This window comes from Homo sapiens, chromosome 19, assembly GCF_000001405.40.
Source record: "Homo sapiens chromosome 19, GRCh38.p14 Primary Assembly".
In the NCBI taxonomy this organism is placed as follows: Eukaryota; Metazoa; Chordata; class Mammalia; order Primates; family Hominidae; genus Homo; species Homo sapiens.
This window is the reverse complement of record NC_000019.10, coordinates 57,800,762-57,823,431: the sequence shown is the minus strand read 5'-3', so window position 1 is coordinate 57,823,431 and position 22,670 is coordinate 57,800,762. Positions and strand designations below refer to the sequence as shown.

At 47.1% G+C, this 22,670-nt stretch overlaps 1 protein-coding gene across 2 annotated transcripts, besides 8 other annotated features; it reads left to right on the top strand.

Moving 5' to 3' along the window:
• Positions 767 to 1,267: an enhancer, noted in NCBI's record as "H3K4me1 hESC enhancer chr19:58333533-58334033 (GRCh37/hg19 assembly coordinates)". NCBI's record gives its function as "activates a minimal SCP1, AML or CMV promoter by ChIP-STARR-seq in primed H9 embryonic stem cells {active_cell/tissue: H9 hESC(primed)}" and the evidence as "EXISTENCE:reporter gene assay evidence [ECO:0000049][PMID:30033119]".
• Positions 3,523 to 3,752: an enhancer, noted in NCBI's record as "active region_15163". NCBI's record gives its function as "activates an Ori minimal core promoter by ATAC-STARR-seq in GM12878 lymphoblastoid cells {active_cell/tissue: GM12878}" and the evidence as "EXISTENCE:reporter gene assay evidence [ECO:0000049][PMID:35858748]".
• Positions 8,195 to 8,244: an enhancer, noted in NCBI's record as "active region_15162". NCBI's record gives its function as "activates an Ori minimal core promoter by ATAC-STARR-seq in GM12878 lymphoblastoid cells {active_cell/tissue: GM12878}" and the evidence as "EXISTENCE:reporter gene assay evidence [ECO:0000049][PMID:35858748]".
• On the top strand, positions 8,519 to 16,350 carry ZNF552 (zinc finger protein 552). Of its 2 annotated transcripts, none has more exons than NM_024762.3 (3): positions 8,519 to 8,721; positions 10,012 to 10,138; positions 14,329 to 16,350. In NM_024762.3, the coding sequence occupies exons 1-3, from the start codon at positions 8,689 to 8,691 to the stop codon at positions 15,390 to 15,392; spliced, it is 1,224 nt and encodes a 407-aa protein (NP_079038.2). In that variant the 5' UTR covers positions 8,519 to 8,688; the 3' UTR covers positions 15,393 to 16,350. The 2 variants fall into 2 exon arrangements, with proteins under 2 accessions (NP_079038.2, XP_005259324.1); XM_005259267.5 differs by having other exon boundaries at positions 8,519 to 8,899.
• Positions 11,252 to 11,903: an enhancer, noted in NCBI's record as "H3K27ac-H3K4me1 hESC enhancer chr19:58322897-58323548 (GRCh37/hg19 assembly coordinates)". NCBI's record gives its function as "activates a minimal SCP1, AML or CMV promoter by ChIP-STARR-seq in primed H9 embryonic stem cells {active_cell/tissue: H9 hESC(primed)}" and the evidence as "EXISTENCE:reporter gene assay evidence [ECO:0000049][PMID:30033119]".
• Positions 19,234 to 19,847: an enhancer, noted in NCBI's record as "NANOG-H3K27ac-H3K4me1 hESC enhancer chr19:58314953-58315566 (GRCh37/hg19 assembly coordinates)". NCBI's record gives its function as "activates a minimal SCP1, AML or CMV promoter by ChIP-STARR-seq in naive H9 embryonic stem cells {active_cell/tissue: H9 hESC(naive)}" and the evidence as "EXISTENCE:reporter gene assay evidence [ECO:0000049][PMID:30033119]".
• Positions 20,737 to 21,031: a silencer, noted in NCBI's record as "tiled region #649; HepG2 Repressive non-DNase unmatched - State 15:Elon". NCBI's record gives its function as "represses a minimal TATA promoter and a strong SV40 promoter by Sharpr-MPRA in HepG2 cells {active_cell/tissue: HepG2}" and the evidence as "EXISTENCE:reporter gene assay evidence [ECO:0000049][PMID:27701403]".
• Positions 20,828 to 20,877: an enhancer, noted in NCBI's record as "active region_15161". NCBI's record gives its function as "activates an Ori minimal core promoter by ATAC-STARR-seq in GM12878 lymphoblastoid cells {active_cell/tissue: GM12878}" and the evidence as "EXISTENCE:reporter gene assay evidence [ECO:0000049][PMID:35858748]".
• Positions 21,048 to 21,107: an enhancer, noted in NCBI's record as "active region_15160". NCBI's record gives its function as "activates an Ori minimal core promoter by ATAC-STARR-seq in GM12878 lymphoblastoid cells {active_cell/tissue: GM12878}" and the evidence as "EXISTENCE:reporter gene assay evidence [ECO:0000049][PMID:35858748]".

The window sequence follows — 22,670 nt, the reverse complement described above, 5'->3', positions numbered from 1 at the left end:
ACTATGCTTGACAAATACAAATAGCATCCAATATTAACACAGAATTTCCATGGTTTACAATAGCAGTGGTAATCCCAAATCATCCTGTGAATGTCTCCCGGAATGACTCCATAGCCACACAGAACCACATATGGCTTTAGATATCCATGGCCCTATTCCACTTCTGTGCTGCACCAGCTGAGACCTCAGCTGTAGCAACCCTCCTCTGTCCACCTAATGCCGTTTAAAGCCCAGCCCCTGGATTTGTGAACCAAACCACATCTACTATCACAGATGAGCATATTTTTCACTGCCCATATGCACCAGGCTGAATGAAACTCCCCAGGCACTCCCAAAGTCATCTCAAAACGTTTGTGAGTCCAGACAGTGATAAATAGTTACAACTTTGGCACCAACTCAGGCCTAAGTGTCATCTTCCCTGAATTACTCCTATGCTTCTGCATGCATCTATCTCGTCTATTCTCTCCTCGGATGTCTATGTCCCCTTCCAAACTCTACTGTCTGATACATCCTGCCATGATGGTCACTCACACCCTCTCAGGTGTTTAGGAAGCCCAATAACATCACTCAGGGACGTAAGTAAGAGATCCACTCCTCAGCCTGTAGTCACACCTTCCTGGCCCCTGAAAAGATTTACCACCAAAATCTGAAGCATGTCCTCCTAAATGGACCCATAACTAACTTACTGTAGTTCGCTCATTAGCTTTCATATATTGGATGTCTCCATTATCAACACCCTCCCAGATATCCCATCCTGTATGTCTAGTTATCCATTTGATGCCACCACTTATTGGTCTCTGATTCTTCATATGGCCAAAACAACCCTCTTGCTATCCACAGTGAATATTGTTGTCAATACCAACTTCATGTCAGCAGATGCAGCGTCCATGGTTACAGCTGCAAAGATCAAAAACCTTGGGCTCATGCCCAATTCCTCTTTCATGCTCTTATCACCCACATTAGAAAACCTAGCTGTCGGCCGGGCACGGTGGCTCACACCTGTAATCCCAGCACTTTGGGAGGCTGAGGCGTGCGGATCACCTGAGGTCGGGAGTTCAAGACCAGCCTAACCAACATGGAGAAACCCCATCTCTACTAAAAATACAAAATTAGCCAGGGTGGTGGTGCATGCCTGTAATCCCAGCTACTGGGGAGGCTGAGGCAGGAGAATCACTTGAACCTGGGTGACGGAAGTTGCGGTGAGCTGAGATCACGCCATTGCACTCCAGCCTGGGCAACAAAAGCAAACTCCGTCTCAAAAAAAAAAAAAAAAGAGAGAGAGAGAAAACCTAGCTGTCTGCCAGGTACGGTGTCTCATGCCTGTAATCCCAGCACTTTGGGAGGCCGAGGCAGGTGAATCACCTGAGGTCAGGAGTTCGAGACCAGCCTGGCCGACATGGTGAAACCTCGTCTCTACTAAAAATACAAAAATTAGCCAAGTGTGGTGGTTCATGCCTGGAATCCCAACTGCTCGGAAGGCTGAGGCAAGAGAATCACTTGAACCCGGGAGGCGGAGGTTCCAGTGAGCAGAGATCATGCCATTGCACTCCAGCCTGGGTGACAAGACCGAAACTGCGTCTCAAAAAAAAAGAAAGAAAGAAAGAAAGAAAACCTAGCTGTCTTTTTACAAAAAGTGAATCCTGAATCCAGACCCATGTGATTTACCACATATCTGATCCATTAAGCCTCACCTAGATTATGGCAGGAGCCTTATCTCTGACCTTTCTTCCTCTTCCCTCAACCCACAGTCTATGCAACAAGGTCCAACCAGATGAAGCCTGTAGCCAGGTAGAACTGTGGTAATATCACCTCCTGACTTTGATCCGTTTTATCTCTAAGCATTTCACAACCTGGTAGCAAATCCTGGGTTAATCTTACAAGGGTGTTTACATTGGTTGACAGAAATGGGAATACCTCCATATAACCTGTCATGGACTTGGTATCCTGGCTTCAGAGATTCTCCAGGGTCCTCGGATCAAAGGACTGAAAAAAATGGCACTTAAGAGTCCCAGGACACCACAAGCTAGAGAACCTGTAGATGGCGTCAGGACCAATGAGGGGATTGAACACCCTCCACTTTCCTGTGTGGGTTCCCTAAGTGCTTCTGCAGCCAGGAGTGCCTGAGGGGAGAGGCAGACATTACAAACATGTCACGGGATTTGATAAGCTCAGGCCTCCCTGAACCCTTTCTTGTCCCTGGAGCCAGGTGGCACTCAGGCTGGTTGTCTGACCTGCTTGTCTCAGTGCAAAATGTCATCTCTACCACCTATGTGAGCTACAAAAAGGATTCAACCTCCCAAGGCCCCAAAGTCCTCATCCTCTCTCTCTACAATGTTCTTCCTTTGATTGGCCTTTGGGAAATCTTAAAAGCCTGGATTTGGATCATGTCCCTCCTTTCTTCAAAACTCTCCATGGCTTCTAGTGTCCTCATGATGAATGCACAGCCCTCAGCCTGTGTGCTCTTCCAGGAGTAGCTCTGCCTCAAACTTTGTTCCCGACAGGTGCCTGTGGACCCCAGGTTCCATCCTCCCAGCTGCCTCCATCTCCAGACCATCGCCTAGGCCCCTCCCTGTGCCTGTTGCTCTCCCCACCGCATCGCACTGATGTCAAACACAGGTGAAACCGTCTTTGCAAAATTATAACTGAGGAAATTATGACAGTGAAAGAAATCAGACCTAACCGACTCCATCTTGCTTTTAACCTTTAAGCTGTCCTTGTTCATTCCTGGGCACAGGCTGAATTAACTTAGGGAAGGAATTCAGTTCATGGTTTCACTCTGAAACAAAATTGATAACAGCCCTTTCCTGAAAAGACTCCCTTCTTGCCTGGGGACCAGCCTGCCTTTGCAGGACTAACAGTTTAGCTATAAGATTAGAAATTACCGTTTAGGGGTCATGTAGCTTCTGGCTCCAAGAGTCTGAACCTCGCCAAGTTGCTCCTGAAGATAACATAACAATTGTAAAAGCTAAGATCAGTGCTTGAGGTATTTTGGAGATCCTACACTGGATGGATCAGCTGACAACACACAGACCGGTAATCTGGGTCAATCAGTTCTGCCATCCCACCCACAACAGAAAACAGCATGAAAAACTCACTTCAACCCTCTATAAATCCATCTCCAACCTGACCGTTCAGCACTCCCCACTTCCCAAGCCCCTACCCGCCAAATTAACTTTGAAAACTCTGATCCAGAAATGCTCGGGGAGACTGATTTGAATAATAATAAAACTCCTGTCTCCCGAACAGCCGGCTCTGCGTGAATTACTATTTCTCCTTACAATTCCCCTGTCTTCACAAATCGGCTCTCTCTAGGCAGCTGGCAAGGTGAATCCACTGGACGTTTACACAGGGACCCCTCCTGCCAGCGCCTCAGTGTCCCTACGCCGGGTACCGGCTACAGACCCGTGAGCAGGAGCCTCTCCCTCGCTGGTTTAGGACCTGGGTGACGATGAGGTGACCTGAGGGCACAGAAAACGCCACAATTACCTGAGTAGGGCGCCTCGGCGCAGCCGCAGCCATCGGACTACTTGGGGAAAGCACTGCCCGGGAGCAGCAGGCGCCCTCACCGGGCTGCAGAGCCGCCTCTGTGCACCGAGAACGGTTCCTCTCCACCTTCTGGGTTCATTCACCGCAGTCCCACGTAGCAGTCCGGGGCCACTCACTGGGCAAACACGCGTATCGCAGATCAACGTGGCCGCTACAAGAGGACCCCGGAAGTCTCGGCCCTACATTAGGCGCACACACGGAAATGCTTCTTTCCGAGCCCTCATTGGCTCTGACGGCATTCATTCAACGCAGAGCTTTCTGAGTAATGTAGTTGACCAGGTTTCAAGGCTGTAAAGAGGGCGCTACCCAGAGGTGCATCTGCAGGAAAAGCCCACCGTCATGTCAGGAACTCTCCTTAAAAGCGCGCCCTGAGGCCGGGCGCGGTGGCTCACGCCAGTAATCCCAGCACTTTTGGAGGCTGAGGCGGGCGGATCGCGAGGTCAGGAGATCGAGACCATCCTGGCTAACACGGTGAAACCCCGTGTCTACTAAAAATTCAAAAAAAAAAAGTTAGCTGGGCGTGGTGGCGGGCGCCTATAGTCACAGCTACTCTGGAGGCTGAGGCTGGAGGAGAATGGCGTGAACCTCCTTGCAGTGAGCTGGGATCGCGCCACTGCCCTCCAGCCTGCGCGACAGAGCAAGACTCTGTCTCAAAAAAAAAAAAAAAAAAAAAAAAAAGGCGCCTTTCTAGGGCAGAGGAGGGGTCTCACCTAGCCTTAGAAGCCGTATTGAGATTCCTGGAGACTAGTGTCTGTAACTAATCACTCAAGAATTTGGAAAAATACTACTTCAGATTTCGGGGAGCTCAAGGTAAATAATAGGGAGCTCAAGCTGAAACTATTATTTAGGATTCTCCCAAAGGCTAAAAATCCAAATTACCACACCGTTTGAAACAGTCGTTCAGTCGCAAAATACCTGCACTGGAAGCAGAAGCTGATAAGCGTTGTTGTGTTATAATGTGTCTGAAGGCCCTCAGAAGCCTTAGAGTGCCTAAGGCAAATGAAGGAAGTTAGGGATGTGCTCCCCTACAGCAGGAGTGCAAAGCTGAATCTCTGTGATTCCTACAGAAAACAACTCTCCTGCTGATAGAATCTGTGAAAGGAAAATCTTGTGGCCTCAAAATTACTAAGCTAAAGGGAAAAGTCAATCTGGGAACTGCTCAGGGCAAACTTGCCTCCCATTCTATTCAGTCATTGCTCTCCTCACTGAGATAGGTGCATAGTCTGATTGCCTCCTTTGGAAACACTTATCAGAAACTAAAAAGAATCCAACTATTTGTCTCTCACCTACATGTGACCTGGAAGTCCCCTCCCTGCTTGGAGTTGTCCCCGCCTTTCTGGTCAGAACCGATGTAATTCTTACAAATATTCACTGATGTCTCATGCCCCCCTAAAATGTATTAAACCAGCCGGCGCGGTGGCTCAGGCCTGTAATCCCAGCACTTTGGCAGGCGGAGGTGGGCAGATCATGAGGTCAGGAGATCCAGACCGTCCTGGCTAACAGGGTGAAACCCCGTCTCTGGTAAAAATACAAAAAAAAATTAGCCATCCTGGTGGTGGGCGCCTGTAGTCCCAGCTACTAGAGAGGCTGAGGCAGGAGAATGGCATGAGCCCAGAAGTCGGAGCTTTCAGTGAGCAGAGATCGCGCTACTCCACTCCAGCATGGTCGACAGAGCAAGACTCCGTCTCAAACAAAACAAAACAAAACATACAATCTGTGCCCCAACCACCTTGGGCACGTGCCGTCAGGACTTCCTGAAGCTGTGTCACGGGCATGCATCCTCACCTTTGGCAAAATAAACTTTTTTTTTTTTTTAGATTGAGTCTCCCTCAGTCGCCAGGCTGAAGTGCAGTGGCGAGATCTTGGCTCACTGCAACCTCCGTCTCCCAGGTTCAATCGATTTTCCTGCCTTAGCCTCCCGAGTAACTGGGCCTACAAGCGCGCAGCACCTTGCCCAGCTAATTATTATATTTTTAGTGGTTTCACCTTGTTGGCCAGGATGGTCTCAATCTCTTGACCTCGTGATCCGCCTGCCTCGGCCTCCCAAAATGCTGGGATTACAGGAGTCAGCCACTACGCCTGGCCGGCAAAATAAATTTTTCAAATGAACTGAGACCTGTCTCACATTTGGGGGGTTCACAAATCAATTGTAGCATTCAATTAATTGCACCACACTTTTACCCACTTAGTATCCTTTACTTGATATTCTAACTTATATTCAACTCCTTTTAGGAATTTGAAGTCAGTTTTATATATATAAACAACAATAAAGGATTTGGTAGCTTGATAGTGGTAATAGCTACAGTCCTTAAAGGTAGTGCTCTCCATCTGGTCATACTGGGCATTTGTTAAATCCATGAGTTCATGTCATTGATGGGAAGTGATTATCATTGATTTATCTTAAGAGAGCAGGGAGTGTTCTGCATGAAAAATTAAAATTACATGAGAGAAACAGTTGTAAAATGCAAGATACGAAAGCCTATTAATACTGACTAGATAGGCCAGGCATGGTGGCTCATGCCTGTAATCTCAGCATTTTGGGAGGCCGAGGCGGGTGGATCACCAGGTGAGGAGTTTGAGACCACCCTGGCCAATATGGTGACACCTCGTCTCTACTAAAAGTACAAAATTAGTTGGGCGTGGCGGCACGCACCTGTCATCCCAACTACTCAGGAGGCTGAGGCAGAAGAATCACTTGAACCCAGGAGGCAGAGGTTACAGTGAGCCAAGATTGAGCCGTTGCACTGTAGCCTGGGCGACAGAGCGAGACTCTGTGTGAAAAAAAAAAACAAAAAACACTGACTAGGTAATTATTCAACAGTTCTGACAGAAGTAGTTCTGAGGAAACATCAGTAGATGGTGAAAAAACTTAGGGCCTCAGAGAAATGTTAGCACTGATGTCTAAGAGATGGAATTATGCTCAGCACATAATTGGAATGGTCACTCTGATGGTTTTGGCTTCAAAATGAGATTCTTCTTTTTTTTTTTTTTTTTTTTTTTGAGGTGGAGTCTCACTCTGTCGCTGTATAAAATGGACCAATCAGCAGGATGTGGGTGGGGTCAAATAAGGGAATAAAAGCTGGCCAGCCAGTAGCAGCAACCCGCCCAGGTCCCCTTCCACACTGTGGAAACTTTGTTCTTTCGCTCTTCGCAATAAATCTTGCTGTTGCTCACTCTTTGGGCCCGCACTGCCTTTATGAGCTGTAACACTCACCGCGAAGGTCTGCCACTTCACTCCTGAAGCCAGCGAGACCACGAACCCACCAGAAGGAAGAAACTCTAGACACATCTGAACACCTGAAGGAACAAACTCCAGACATACCATCTTTAAGAACTTTAACACTGCCCGTGAGGGTCTGCGGCTTCATTCTTGAAGTCAGCGAGACCAAGAACCCACCGGAAGGAACCAATTCTGGACACAATACCTTTCAAACAAGGGACCTGTCCAGGCTTCCTTCTGATGACCAACCCACCTCTAATGCTGGCCAGTCTATTTCACACAAAGTTCTAAGTTTTCCTGGTGTCATAGTAACACTGTAATCTCCCTTAAATCCTTTCTTGAAATGTTTCAACATAGTTCCTAGTGAAGTGGGCTTACTTTGTGCCTGACCCATGCTTCTTTGAGACAAAACACCACGCTCACACCACACGCACACCACAAAACAAAGAACAGGTAAAAAGGGCACACATACACTTTTACCGTTTACACCAAACCAGAATCAAAATCCAAATCAGAGTATCCAGAAATCCAAGCCAGGTCAAAACCAAAACGAAAGTATCAAGCAATCCAAATCAAGTCAAAAACAAAAACCAAAGTGCCGGTACAGGCATGCCGTGGGTGATCAGGCCACCCTTCCACTCAAATGGAGTGGGCAAGTTCCAAAGACTAGTCTTACCAAGTTTCAGATGTCCGGACTCCAAGTGCCTGTTCCTTCCCAGTGTTCAGCCGCTGCATTGATCCTCTGTGGGGGCCTGCCACACGCCACTCTGGCGAGGTGTTCCACTGGGGCAATTGCCTACCCGGGAGTGCTCTCAGGTTCTGCGTCCCTCAAGCTGGCCAGAGTCCCCTGTAGGGATGCTCCACAGGGCAGGCCTAAGCTGCCTAAGGGGCTGCCTCGACTATCTGTTAATCACCTGGCTTCCCAGTCAGGGAACCAAGAAATGTAGCAGGACAAGCCGCAGGGCTGTATTCAGCCTGGAGCTTTGGCAAGACTCACATCTCCAACTACCAAGCTCCCCAAGTGAGGAATTCCTGTCCCTTTTAAGGGCTTACAACTCTAAGGGGGTCCACATGAGAGGTTTGTGATCGATTGAGCAAGCAGGGGGTACACGACTGGGGGCTGCATGCAGTGGTAATCAGAACGGAACAGAACAGGACAGGGATTTTCACAATGCTTTTCCATACAATGTCTGGAATCCATAGATAACATAACCGGTTTGGTCAGGGGTCGATCTTTAACCAGGCCCAGGGTTGGCACCTGGCTGTCTGCCTGTGGATTTCATTTCTGCCTTTTAGTTTTTACTTGTTTCTTTGGAGGCAGAAATTGGGCATAAAACAATATGAGAGGTGGTCTCCTCCCTTAACAGCACAAACGCTTAATTAACATTTCTTTTTCTTTTGAGACAGGTTCTGTCGCCCAGGCTGGAGTGCAGTGGTGCAGTCATAGCTCAGTGCAGCCTGGACCACCTGGGCTCAAGCAGTCCTGACACCTCAGCCTCTCAAAATTTGGGATTACAGGCGCGCGCCACCGTGCGGGTCAGGAGGCTTCCCTGAGGGCCCCGGAGGTGGAGCTGGGCTTTTCCTTCCGAAGCGCCCCTGGGAATCTCTCTCTTTACGGCCTTGGAACCTGGGAAACTACATTACCCAGAAAGCTCTGCGTCAAATGACAGCACGGCAGAGCCAGTGAGAGTTCACATTGAAGGCGTTTCCGTGTGCGCAAGTAAGGTAGAGGCGGGACTCCCGGCGCCCTTTAGTAGCGACCATTTCCATTGGCGTTAGGGAGTCCTTGGAGCGCTGTGTTGGGACCGTGGTGGTGACTGGATCCAGGAGGTCGAGAGTCGTTCTTCTCTTTGCACAGACGTGACTCTGCAGCTCTTTAACGGCGCCCGCTGCTCTCAACCCAGCTTACCCCACGTGGTCCCATGGCGGCGGCCGCGCTAAGGTTCCCCGTTCAGGTAATTGTGGCGCCTTCCGTGCTCTCCGGTCACCTCCTAGTCACACAAGTCCTAAAGCAGCGAGGGAGCGGCACCTGTTTACGGCTCTGCAACCCGGACCCGGCGTCGGGACACTGAGGCGCTCTCGGGAGGGATCCCTGTTTCAGACACCCGTGGGATGCGGTGGGGAGAGCGACAGGTACAGGGAGGGGCGCGGGCAATGGCCTGGAGATGGACGGATCCGGGAGGATGGAACCTGGGGTCCACAGGCGCCTGTAGGGAACAACCTGTGAGGCGGAACTCCTCCTGGAAAAGCAAGGAGGCTGGGGGCTGTGAAATCATTGCGAGGACACTAGAAATAGGAGAATTTCCAAGAAAGAAGGGACTGGATCAAAGTCCAGGCTTTTAAAGTTTCCTAAAGGCCAAATAAATAACAGAGTAGAGAGGGGATGACGTTGGGGCCCTTTGAGATTGAATCCTTGTAGATCATATAGGTGGTAGAGATGACACTTTGTGCTGAGACACGCAGGTTAGACAATAGTCCAAGGTCACCTGGCTCCGTGGACACAAAAGCGTTCAGGGAGGCCTGAGCTTACCAGATCCTATCAGGGACACAGTCCTGTAAAGTCAGCCTCTTCCCTCAGGCCTTTATGGCTGTAGAAGCATTTAAGGAACGCATACAAGAAAGTGGAGGGTGGGGCCGGGTGCAGTGGCTCACTCCTGTAATCCCAGCACTTTGGGAGGCCTAGGCGGGTTGGTCCGGAGGTAGAGACCAGCCTGACCAACCATGGAGAAACCCTGTCTCTACTAAAAATACAAAATTAGCCAGGCGTGGTGGCGCATGCCTGTAATCCCAGCTACTTGGGAAACTGAGGCAGCAGACTCGCTTGAACCCGGGAGGCGGAGGTTGCGTGAGCCGAGATCGCGCCATTGCACTCCACCCTGGGTGACAGAGCGAGACTCCGTATCAAAAAAAAAAAAAAAAAAAAAAAAAAAAGAATGAGGTGCGTTCAGAGAGGGTATCTCTGCTGTGCTGAAGGTGCCACATTGGGCTTTCCATGACCTCGGCCATACTAGGGGAAGTGCCTGTCAGGAGGGGGTGGACTCTTATATCACAGCCACCGCACAGATACCTATTTGTTCAACTAACTATTGTTGTTGGTGGCTGTACCCCATGACCAGTGGGCCTAGTTTCTCCTATGTTTGAGGACCTTGAGAGGAGGATGTGCGAGAGTAGATGTGTGGGAGAGATGGATTGTGATACCTCAGCATAGGGGTGGTTTGTGGTTTCATCTGTCAACATCATAACAGGGCACAGTGACTTTTGAAGACGTGGCTGTGAAATTTACCCAGGAGGAATGGAATCTCCTTAGTGAGGCTCAGAGATGCCTGTACCGTGATGTGACGCTGGAGAACCTGGCACTTATGTCCTCCCTGGGTAAGTTGCCCACACTCACCCCTGTGACCTGAGCTAGTCTCTGTCTTTCCCCCTCTTTTTCTATTGGCAAGACTTTCTCATGTCAGGAGCATGGACACAGCTTCCTACTTCAGTTCTTGGTTGGTAGGACTGAGGTATGCATACTGCCCTCTCCATTCTTGGAGCAGCCCCAACACCTGCTATTGAGCTCCCAGGGAAGAATTCAGAGTCAGAAGTCTTACAGGCAACTTAATGCAGGCTACCTTGTTTGTCCTGTGGATGTTTGTGTGATTTCATCCAGATTTCAGGTTCGGGATCTAATTCATTCCTCTACCTGTTATTTCTTCATGCCTCCCTGTGCCAGGAATTGTCTTCATTGACATTGTCACTGCCTACATAGACTATAGACTGTTCTTGTAATACCGTCCTTAGAAATTCTCTTCATAGGTCTGGTGCAGTGGCTCATGCCTATAATTTCTGCACTCAGGGAGGCCAAGGTAGGTGGATTACTTGAGGCCAGGAGTTCGAGAACAGCCTGGCCGACATGGTGAAACCCCATCTCTACTGAAAATATAAAAATTAGCCAGGTGTGGTGGCACACGCTTTTAATCCTGGCTACTTGGGAGGCTAAGGTGGGAGGATAGCTTGAACCCAGGAGGCAGGGGTTGCAGTGAGCTGAGATTGTGCCACTGCGCTCCAGCCTGAGCAACAGAGCAAGACTCCGTCTCAAAAAACAGAAATTCTTTTTGTAATATTGTTTCCTGTCTGCTGTCATGTGCTGAGTTGTTCTAAGCCAGTGTTGGCTGTTTCCTTGTTCTGTCTTTCCCTTTGTTCTTACATCATGTATGTCTCATGTACTTGGTTATCTTGGTGGTGGGATCATCTTCTGTGGTCAGAAGATGCAAATGAATCTGGCCTCAGCATTATGGGTTCTGAGTCCCTGAAAAATAGCATCCTAGGACAGTGGTGCATGATGTCAAGAGTTTTATTCAAATCATGACAGAAACCTCTTCTATTTCAGTAGTATTTTTGGGGCCAGACAAGTAAGCACACATGATTTCTGTATCGTCTTTTCTCCTTCATTCTTGTTTTTGGTTTTGTTTGTTTGTTTTTTGAGAAAGGGTCTTGTTCTGTTGCCCAGGCTGGAGTGCAGTAGCTTGATCTCTGCTCACTGCAACCTCTGCCTCCTGGGCTGAAGCACTTCTCCTGCTTCAGCCTCCTGAGAAGCTGGGAATACAGGTGCATGCCATTATGCCCAGCTAATTTTTTTTTTTTTTTTTTTTTTTGAGACAGAGTCTCACTTTGTTGCCCAGGCTGGAGTGTAGTGGTGCGATCTTGGCTCACTGCAACCTCCACCTCCCAGGTTCAAGCAATTCTTCTGCCTCAGCCTCCCAAGTAGCTGGGACTACAGGCGTGCACCACCACGCCTGGCTATGTTTTGTATTTTTAGTAGAGATGGGGTTTCACCATATTGGCCAGGCTGGTCTCAAACTCCTGACTTCATGATCCGCCTGCCTTTGCCTCCCACAGTGCTGGGATTACAGGCATGATCCACTGCACCTGGCCTTCTCCATTGTTTTTTTTTTTTTTTTTTTTTTTGAGATGGAGTTTCGCTCTTGTTGTCCAGGCTGGAGCGCAATGGTGCGATCTGGCTCACCGCAACCTCTGTCTCCCAGGCCCAAGCAATTCTGCCCTCAGCCTCCTGAGTAGCTGGGATTACAGGCATGTGCCACCATGCCCGGCTAATGAAGGGTGGCCTGCCTCTCCACACCTGTGGGTGTTTCTCGTCAGGTGGAATGAGAGACTTGAGAAAAGAAAGAGACACAGATCCAAAATATAGAGAAAGAAAAGTGGGCTGGGTGCGGTGGCTCATGCTTGTAATCCCAGAACTTTGGGAGGCCGAGGCAGGCGGATCACGAGGTCAGGAGATTGAGACCACGGTGAAACCCTGTCTCTACTAAAAATACAAAAAAATTAGCCAGGCGTGGTGGCGGGCGCCTGTAGTCCCAGCTACTCGGAGAGGCTGAGGCAGGAGAATGGCGTGAACCCGGCAGGCGGAGCTTGCAGTGAGCCGCGATTGTGCCACCGCACTCCAGCCTGAGCAACAGAGCGAGACTCCGTCTCAATAAAGAATAAAAAATAAAAAAAAAAAAGAAAAGTGGGCCCAGGGGACTGGCGCTCAGCATACGGAGGAACCCTGCCTTCCCCCTGCCGCCACCAGTCTCCGAGTTCCTTCAGTATTTACTGATCATTATCTCTACCATGTGGCAGGTCAATAGGGTAATAGTGGGGAGAGGTTCAGCAGGAAAACATGTGAACAAATGTCTCTGCATCATAAACAAGGTAAAGAAAAAAGTGCTGTGCTTTTGATGTGCATATACATAAACATCTCAATGCCTTAAAGAGCAGTATTGCCTCCAGCATGTCTCACCTCCAGCCCTAAGGCGGTTTTCTCCTATCTCAGTATATGGAATATACAATTGGGTTTTAACACCCAGACATTCCATTGCCCAGGGATGAGCGGGAGACAGATGCCCTCCTCTTATCTCAACTGCAAAGAGGCCTTCCTCTTTTACTAATCCTCAGCACAGCCCCTTTACTGGCGTCGGGCTGTCAGGTCTTTCCCTTCCCATGAGGCCATATCTCAGGCTATCACATGGGGAGAAACCTTGGGCAATACCTGGCTTTCCTAGGCAGTGTTTTGTGTCCCTGGGTCCTTGAGAGTAGGGAGTAGTGATGACTTTTAACAAGCATGCTGCCTTGAAGCACTTGTTTAACAAAGCACGTCCTGCATAGCCCAAAATCCATTTAACCTTGAGTTGACACAGCACATGTTTCTGGAGCACAGGGTTGGGAGTAGGGTTACAGATTAACAGCATCTCAAGGCAGAATAATTTTTCTTAGTACTGAACAAAATGGAGTCTCTTATGTCTGCTTCTTTCTACATCGACACAGTAACAGTCTGATCTCTCTTTCTTTTCCCCAAAGGCTAATATTTTGTATTTTTAGTAGAGACAGTGTTTCTCCATGTTGGTCAGGCTGGTCTCAAACTCCTGACGTCAGGTGATCCGCCCAGCTCTGCCTCCCAAAGTGCTGGGATTACAGGCATGACCCACGACACCTGGCCCTTTTCTTCTCTCTTCTCTTTCCTCTTCCCTCTTCTCCCTTTCCCTCCCCTCTCCTCTCCTCTTCTCTTTTCTTTTTTGAGACAGGTTCTCACACTGTCATTTTTGTTACCTGGAGTGCAGTGGTGTGAATATAGTTCACACAGCCTCAACCTCCTGGGCTCAAGTGATCCTCCAGCCTCAGTCTCCTGAGTAGCTAGGACTGCAGGTGCACACCATCACACCTGGCTAATGTTTGTAGAGAGGTTTTGCTGTGTTGCTCAGGCTGGTCTTGATCTCCTGGGCCTGAGTGATCCCTTTGCCTTAGCCTCCCAAAGTGCTGGGATTGTAGGCATGAGTCACCATGCTTGGCCATTTTAAAAATAATTTCTGTAGAGACAGGGTCTCACCATGTTTCCCAGGCTGGTCTTGGATTTCTGGGCTCAGGTGATCTTCCTACATTGGGTTTACAGCTGTGAGCCACTGGTACTGGCCTCTTCCCCATTGTTAAGAACCTCAGAATTGTCAGTTGTACTCCTTGTCAGTTGTACTTTTTTTTTTTTTAAATCCTTTAACTGATTTGTACATGAGCTTGTAGTCTGATATTTATTCCCCTGAATAATCTTCACATCTCTGGACCTCACATCTTAATTTTATTCACATCTTCATCTGCAGTGGTTTCCAGTATTAGCATACAGGTTTTGTGTTAGCAAATGTGTACACTTTGTTAAACTGTCCTCAAGCAGAAGCTGCTGTGTTGTGCTTGTGTTTTCCTTGGCCTGGACAAATCCCTCTCTACAGCACTCGCATGTCATGAGGACATAAATTCTGCAGATGAGTGGTTTGCAGATGCAGGGATTGTAGACCCTGCCTCTACTCCCTGTGTTACATACATGGTTGTGTCCTTTATGTTATGAGGCCTCCTACATTCTGTGACCATTATAGTCCAGTAATAATACATAGCACCATCTTCCACCTGAAGCCAACATCCTGTTCCTCCAAGTACTTCCTTGGAGTAATTCCTCAGTTTTTCAGATACACTTGTGGGTGGTCTGTGCCTTCCCACCAGAGTTAACATGCACTTCACCAGCATTTTCTTGCTTTCAGGTTGTTGGTGTGGAGTGGAAGATGAGGCGGCACCTTCTAAGCAGAGTATTTATATACAAAGAGAGACTCAGGTCAGGACTCCTATGGCAGGTGTGTCTCCCAAGAAGGCCCACCCCTGTGAGATGTGTGGCCCGATCTTGGGAGACATTTTGCATGTGGCAGATCATCAGGGAACACATCACAAGCAGAAACTGCACAGGTGTGAGGCCTGGGGGAATAAATTGTATGACAGTGGAAACTTTCATCAGCACCAGAATGAGCACATTGGAGAGAAACCCTACAGAGGGAGTGTTGAGGAGGCGTTGTTTGCGAAGAGGTGTAAGTTGCATGTGTCAGGGGAGTCATCTGTCTTCAGTGAGAGTGGGAAAGACTTTTTGCTCAGGTCAGGATTACTCCAGCAAGAGGCCACTCACACTGGGAAGTCAAACAGCAAAACTGAGTGTGTGTCTCTGTTTCATGGGGGAAAAAGCCATTACAGCTGTGGAGGATGCATGAAACATTTTAGCACCAAAGATATACTCAGTCAGCACGAGAGACTGCTCCCTACAGAAGAACCTTCTGTGTGGTGTGAATGTGGGAAATCCTCTAGCAAATATGACAGCTTCAGTAATCATCAAGGAGTTCACACTAGAGAAAAACCTTATACGTGTGGGATATGTGGGAAATTATTTAACAGTAAGTCCCACCTCCTTGTACACCAGAGAATTCACACTGGAGAGAAGCCATATGAGTGTGAGGTTTGTCAGAAATTTTTTAGGCACAAGTACCACCTCATTGCACACCAGAGAGTTCACACTGGAGAAAGGCCATATGAATGCAGTGATTGTGGGAAGTCATTTACCCACAGCTCTACATTCCGTGTTCATAAGAGAGTTCACACTGGTCAGAAGCCTTATGAGTGCAGTGAATGTGGGAAATCTTTTGCCGAAAGCTCCAGTCTCACTAAACACAGGAGAGTTCACACTGGAGAAAAGCCTTACGGGTGCAGTGAATGTGAAAAAAAATTTAGGCAAATCTCTTCACTTCGTCATCATCAGAGAGTTCACAAAAGAAAGGGCTTATGAGTGCAGTGAGTCCAGTCTCATTAAATATTGGAGAATACACACCTGAGTAAGATCCTGTGATTGCAGCAAATGTGGAAAATGTTTACCCAAAGGTCTGCTCTCCTTGGATATTGGAGAGTTCACACTAGAGAAGAGTCCTTACAAGTAAAATAAATTTGGGCAGTTTTGTAGCCACACCTCTGTATTCCTTCAGGATTATAGTTAACACTGAATGAAGGCCTTACTAGTGTGACAAATACAGGATATTTATCCAGAAGTCTGGCTGCATAACTCACAGGAGAGCTGTCATGTGGGAGGATTGCTACATGGGAGGATTTGCTTGAGCCTGGGAGGCAGAGGTTGCAGTGAGCCGAGATTGCAACACTGCAGTCCAGTCTGGACCACAGAGTGAGACCCTGTTTCAAAAATAAAATATATAAATGACATCCAATAAAGTATGCATATTTGAGCTGTAGGATAAGTCTTGAATTTTCTTTTTCTTTTTTTTGAGACAGCCTCGCTCTGTCACCCAGGCTGGAGTACAGTGGCATAATCTCGGCTCACTGCAAGCCCTGCCTCCTGGGTTCATGCCATTCTCCTGCCTCAGCCTCCCTAATAGCTGGGACTACAGGCAACCACCACCACTCCTACCTTTTTTGTATTTTTAGTAGAGATGGGGTTTCACCCTGTTAGCCAGGAAGTTCTCAATCTCCTGACCTCGTGATCTGCCCGCCTTGGCCTCTCAAAGTGTTGGGATTGCAGGCGTGAGCCACTGCTCCTGGCTTGAATTTTCTTATAATCCCATGAAACCATCATCAGAGTCACAATAATGAATTTATCTAATCTATCACCTTTGTATTCACCTGGAGCCTTTATAAAGTTTTTCTCTATGCAGACAACCATTGATTTACTCTGCTGTATAATACTTTCCATTTTCTAGAATTTTCTGACTGATGTAATAAAGTGTTTCCTCTTATAATCCCTGGGTGCTCTCCTGCATCATGCTTATTTTGATATCAATGTAGACATGAGTTAATTTGTTGTATATTGCTGAGAAGTATAGTCTGCCATGAAATGTCATTATATATTCATTCATCCGTTTATGGATATTTGAGTTGCTGCTTGTGTTTTTTTGTGTTTTTTTTTTTGAGGTGGAGTCTCACTCTGTCCCCCAGGCTGGAGTGCAGTGGGGCAATCTCAGGTCACTGCAAGCTCTGCCTTCCGGGTTCACGCCATTGTCCTGCCTCAGCCAGTCCTGTGGACTACAGGCGCCCGCAAACACGCCTGGCTAATTTTTTGTATTTTTAGTAGAGACAGGGTTTCACTGTGTTAGCCAGGATCGTCTCGATCTCCTGACCTTGTGATCCGCCCATCTCGGCCTCCCATAGTGCTAGCATTACAGGCATGAGCCATCGCGTGCGGCTGCTTTTTTTTTTTTTTTAAAGACTGTCGACCAGGTTGGAGTGCAGTGGCGTGATTTTGGCTCATTGCAACCTCTACCTCCCAGGTTCAAGCGATTCTCCCACCTGAGCCTCCCACATAGCTGGGATTACATGCATGAGCCACCATGCTGGCTGTTTTTTGATTTTTAGAAGAGATGGGGTTTTGCCGTGTTACCAGGTTCATCTCAGACTCCTGGCCTCAAATGATCTGCCTGCCTTGGACTCCCAAAGTGCTGGGATTACAGGCCTGAGTCGTGAGCCACTGCGCCTGTAATTGATTCTGAGGCCAGGCGTGGTGGCTCACGCCTGTAATCCCAGCACTTTGGGAGGCCAAGGTGGGTGGATCACTTGAGGTCAGGAGTTTGAGACCAGCCTGGCCAACATAGTGAAACGCCATCTCTACTAAAAATACAAAAATTAGCCAGGCGTGGTGGCACATGCCTGTAATCCCAGCTACTCAGGAGGCTGAGGCAGGAGAATCACTTGAACCCAGGCAACAGAGGTTACAGTGAGCTGAGATCACACCACTGCACTCCAGCCTAGGCGACAGTTAGACGCTGTCTCAAAAAAAATAAAACAAAAACATTTATTCTGAGATAATGCCAGTACCCAGTGTGAAACTATTCCTGCAGTCACTGGAAAATAACCACTTTCTTGTAAGGAGATGAAATTTTGGAGCTCAGATGCCATGTTTATGCTGTTATTCAGATGCCTTTTTTATCTGTGCTGTAATTGTGAAAGTTGTAGCCACTGATGTGTACCACAAAGGCATTGGTTAAGTTGCTCTTCCTTTGAGATAGATGTCAATGTGAAAAAAGAAATTGAGGGCAGGGCGTGGTGGCTCACGCCTGTAAACCCAGCACTTTGGGAGGCCGAGGCAGGTGGATCACGACGTCGGGAGATCGAGATCATCCTGACTAACATGGTGAAACGCCTTCTATAGGGAAAATACAAAAAATTAGCCAGGCGTGGTGGTGGGTGCCTGTAGTTTCAGCTACTCCAGAGGCTGAGGCAGGAGAATGGCGTGAACCCAGGAGGCAGAGCTTGCATTGAGCGGCAATTGGCGATCGCACCACTGCACTCCAGCCTGGGCGACAGAGCGAGACTCCGTCTCAAAAAAAAAAAAAAATTGAGTGCACTTTAGCATATGAATTAAGAAACATTGATATAGTGATCCTCATAGTAACTAAAAAGTAAAGTAGAGGTTCCTTTTCAAAGACTTTCCTCCCTAATTAGGAATAAATGGTAACTTCTCTTATAAGCAAAATTTATTCAAAGACCTGTGCTAACATTCTTAAATATCTGCTAGCCGTCATAAAGAAATCAACGTACTTTATGTTCTTAGCTCCCACAATTTAGCCTAAATATTTGCCTTGGCATGCTTATACTGGTCCAAGCAAGCATTAGGTCATAGCCTGTTCCTCTTCCTTATTTAAAAGTGTTTTCACCTTTCTCAGCATTCCACAAGTTACTTCCTCCTTCCTTTGTTCTCATCTACCTTTGCTTCTTTTAAAAGGTTCTAAATTGGCTGGGCGGTGGTGGGGGGTGGTGGCTCACGCCTGTAATCCCAGCACTTTGGGAGGCCAAAGCGGGCGGGTAACGAGGTCAGGATATCAAGACCATGTGGCTAACACATGAAACCCCGTCTCTAGGAAAAATACAAAAAATTAGCCAGGCATAGTGGCGGGAGCCTGTAGTCCCAGCTACTTGGGAGGCTGAAGCAGAAGAATGGCGTGAACCCGGGAGGTGGAGCTTGCAGTAAGCTGAGAACCTGCCACTGCACTCCAGCCTGGGCGACAGAGTGAGACTCCATCAAAAAAAAAAAAAAAATTCTAAGTTGCTCGCCAATCGGGACAAATACAGAATGTGAGGCCCCATCCCAGCCAGTGGAAACCGGACATAGCAGTAGGGTGGACGCGTCAGGTTATAAATGACCCTATCTCCTTAGTTGTGTACTCTCGTGCCAAAACTGCTGGCTGAGTGTACCCTTTCTGCAGGAAGTAAAAATGGCCTTACTAAATAAATTTATGTTCAAGTGCTATTTCTTTATGGCACCGGAGAACAAGCATTTCAAACAATTTGGTGGCAATCCGTACGGGGATACATTCTTCTCTAGGGGCGGTCTCCAGTCCTCTCTCATGGGGTAGCGCTCCCCTACTTCATTGCAAGGTCCTCATAGGTAAGAAATTGAGACCCACCCGGTGTGACGAATAAACCTGGGCTCTCAGCAATGGGGGCAAAAAAAAAAAAAACTGGCCAGCAACCTAGCTTAAAGATCCTCATGTAATGGAATGACAACTGTGCACAGACCAAGGAAGGAGAAGCCGCAGGAGCCGGTAAAGTATTTCCTTGGTGGTCGGGACTAAGGAAAAAGCCGGGATGGTAAAGCATTCCTTGGTTAGGACATACCAAAGAGAGAAAAACCGCAGGGGTGGTAAAGTATTCCTTAGGATGTCTTAGAGGTGAGAAATCCCTATTGTTGGGGGGGTTGAACCTCACACAAACCTCCAGTAGTAAGAAAAATATTCAGAACTCCCCTTTTCTTTCTTCTCAGGGAAAGAAACAGTAGCTCCACTCCTGCCGGTCCCTCCCCTAGGGGAGAGGGAAGCAGAGGAGAAAACAGCAGCATAGGTGGCTGGCAAAGACAAAGGAAAGACCAGTAGAAGAGAAAGAAACCAAAAACAGCAAGCGCAGAGCCAAACAGCCAGGCAGGCAGGCCAAAGGTTAAGTCCCTCTCCCCAGCCCTGCGGTTTGTGAAAAAGAGGGTGGGCACCGGCTCCGGGAGGAGAGCAGAGGAGGTGAAAAGGCGTAATTCTTGCAATTTGCGGCAGGCATATCTGCCAAGCCTCTAGGCTAGTGACTGCCCGGGGCCCAGACTGCAGCCACGCAAATCCCACTCAGCCCAAGAAACTAAGTGTAAAAAGAAAAGGAAAAAAAAAAAAGTAAGAGGGGAAATCAGGGGGAAAAAAAAGAAAAACAGCAGCGCGGGGTCGGGGGCGGGGCCTGTGCGGTGGCCCAGCCCTGCTTGCGGCAGGAGCGGGAGAAGTCCGGAGAAGAAAGGGAAACGGGATGAGAGAGCGGAAAATAGAGTGCAAATGAGAGAAAGAAATAGAAGGAAAGAGTAAGAGAGAAACTGGAAGAGACAGAAATCAAAAGAAGACAAAGGAGGTGAAACTAGGAAAAAAATAGTGTAAAAGGAAGGCAGAAAGTTAAGACATGTTGAAGATTGTGAAAGTCGTAAGAAAAGCTATAAAAGGGAATGTATGCAATAAATACTGTATAATTTAAAAGTAATTAGGCCTCCTGGATATAAAATTATTATTAAACAGTTTACAAGGTATGTAAGAAAAATAAAATATACTTTTAATAAGATTACAAGGAGGCATAAGAATATGGATTTTTACCTACACTAAAGGTTAAGACAATTTTTTTGTTTTAAAGGTTTAAGCAAGTTTTAAAATGTTAATTGTCAAGGAAATTCTGTGTGTAAACATACTGGCTAAAGTTAAGAGGGTATCAAATTCTGTGTGTAAACATATTGGCTAAAGTTAAAAGGGTGTCATCCAGTTTTTCTGTGAACTGGACGTTAAAATTAAAGCACGATAGATTTTTCTTAAAGCACCAACGTGCTCTTTAACAAAAATTATAAAAACAGTCTGTAAAAGTCTTGCCTTATAGTCAGACATTAAAATTAGATAATGTCTATAAGATCTTACTAAAATTAAGTTTAATATTAGTAGCATATTAATATAAAGATAAATTTATTTATTTATTTACTTTTTAGTTTTAGTAGAGGCGGGGTTTCACCATGTTGGCCAGGCTTGTCTCGAACTCCTGACATCAGGAGATCCACCCACCTCAGCCTCCCAAAGTGCTGGGATTACAGACGTGAGCCACCGCGCCTGGCCACTAAAGATAAAATTTAACTTATTTGATATAAAATCATACAAAAAAATTGACAAATATACAATGGTATTTAGCTTTCTTAAGGCCCTAAGATGGCCAGGTAAGTCACAAGGCCCCTCATCCTGAAGGCCACAGTGAGCAAGGGTGGTGAAGGCCACAAGAAGGCCAAGACATTAAGAAGGGGCAGGGCTGCAGCCTCCCCTGGGTGGCGCTGAACAAGAATGGAGCAGGAGGTGACACCATGACGCCTAAGGCCCCAGAATATGCAGCAAAAATCCTATACTTAATTTATCTTCCACTTTCACTTCCCTCGGACCTAAAAGTCTTTTAGCACAGGTACCACCCCTAGAATTTCCAGTACACCAGCACCAGCCTGAAAACCACGTCCTCATCAAAAGCTAGAAAGAAAAAACTCAAACCAGCCTGGGAAGAACCCTATTTTACGCTGTTAACCCCTGAGACTGCCGTCCACACAGCTGAGGAAAAAAAAAAATGGACCCACCACACTCAAGTCAAGAAAACATCTTCCTCTCAGAATCATGGGTTACTGTACTAGGATCAAGCCCTACTAAGTTAAAGAAAGATTAATTTTCATATACCTTCTATACTGCTTCCTTTTCTTATTCTGTTATTAGCTCCTTTGTTATTAATGTAACTAAGTCTGACTCACTCAGACTATTGCCTTTAATGCTTGCTTTGTCATACCTTGTAGAAATGTAAAAGATCAACAGCAGCTAGCCTTTTCACACAAATATTTATATCCCAGCCCTTTAATTGACACAGTTATTCCTAGCACTCATTGTTGTAATGACCTGCAGCCAAGACACCAATTTTCTGCTCCTACTGCCTGGCAACATTGTAGTAAATAGGACTGCATCACTCAAACTACCCAATAGCAAAGTTAGACTTCCACAAAAAGGTTTGTGCAGACCTAAAACCCCTCATCTATTTCACTAAAAGGACTACCCCTTCTTACTGTCAGCCTTGTCAATATAACCCTGTCTTTCTCTTTATCACCACCTCCACCTTAAGGAACTCTAGACACGCCCTTAGTCGCTTCTATGGTATAAAAATTAACATAAGTAGGCTGGGCGTGGTGGCTCATGACTGTAATCCCAGCACTTTGGGAGGCCGAGGCTGGTGGATCACCTGAGGTCAGGAGTTTGAGACCAGCCTGGGCAAGATGGTGAAACCCCATCTCTACTAAAAATACAAAAATTAGCCGGGCGCGGAGGTGGGTGCCTGTAATCCTAGCTACTTGGGAGGCGGAAGCAGGAGAATTGCTTGAACCCGGGAGGCGGAGGTTGCAGTGAGCTGACATCGCGCCACTGCACTGTAGCCTGGGTGACGGAGCTAGACTCCGTCTCAAAAAAAAAAAAAAAATTAACATAAATAAAAAAGACCCCCCAGTTATTTTAAAAATACACATTATTCCCTCATCTTTCCCTTCTTAAGCTGCCTCAGATCTAGATCCCACACCAGTTGCTCCTACATCTGGTAAAACTAAGGTGTCTTGTAAAAATAAGAGATCTAAGACAGACAGACCTTCGCTGTCAAGACAAAATATCAAGATGCAAATGCCTGGCTGAAATGGATTAAATAATCCATTAGCACTTCAAATAAAAGCGATTATTACACTTGTACGCACAGTAGGCCAGAATCCCAGATTATCCCCTTTCCACTCAGATAAGGACTGTATGGTGGCTCTTTTTCAAAATCCCATTGCTTGGGATAATCCAACATACTGAGCTCTCTCTGCTATTTCCTGAAATTTAACACCCTGCAGGTCAGCCCCCTATGGCAATCCGGCTTCCACCTCTGAATGCTGAATGCTGAATGCACAAAGTTTACTTTGTGCGTCTCAGGTCAGGAGGAAAATTTAGTGTTCCTTGGAAGCATTAAACGATGATGGAAAGAGCTCAAGCCTTTCCAAGACTTTGCCCATCAGTCC

Coding starts and splice junctions, on each gene's coding strand:
- ZNF552 (NM_024762.3), top strand. CDS start 8,689: ATGGCGGCGGCCGCGCTAAGGTTCCCCGTTCAG. Junction 8,722..10,011: donor CGCTAAGGTTCCCCGTTCAG/GTAATTGTGGCG, acceptor ACATCATAACAG/GGCACAGTGACTTTTGAAGA. Junction 10,139..14,328: donor GGCACTTATGTCCTCCCTGG/GTAAGTTGCCCA, acceptor TCTTGCTTTCAG/GTTGTTGGTGTGGAGTGGAA.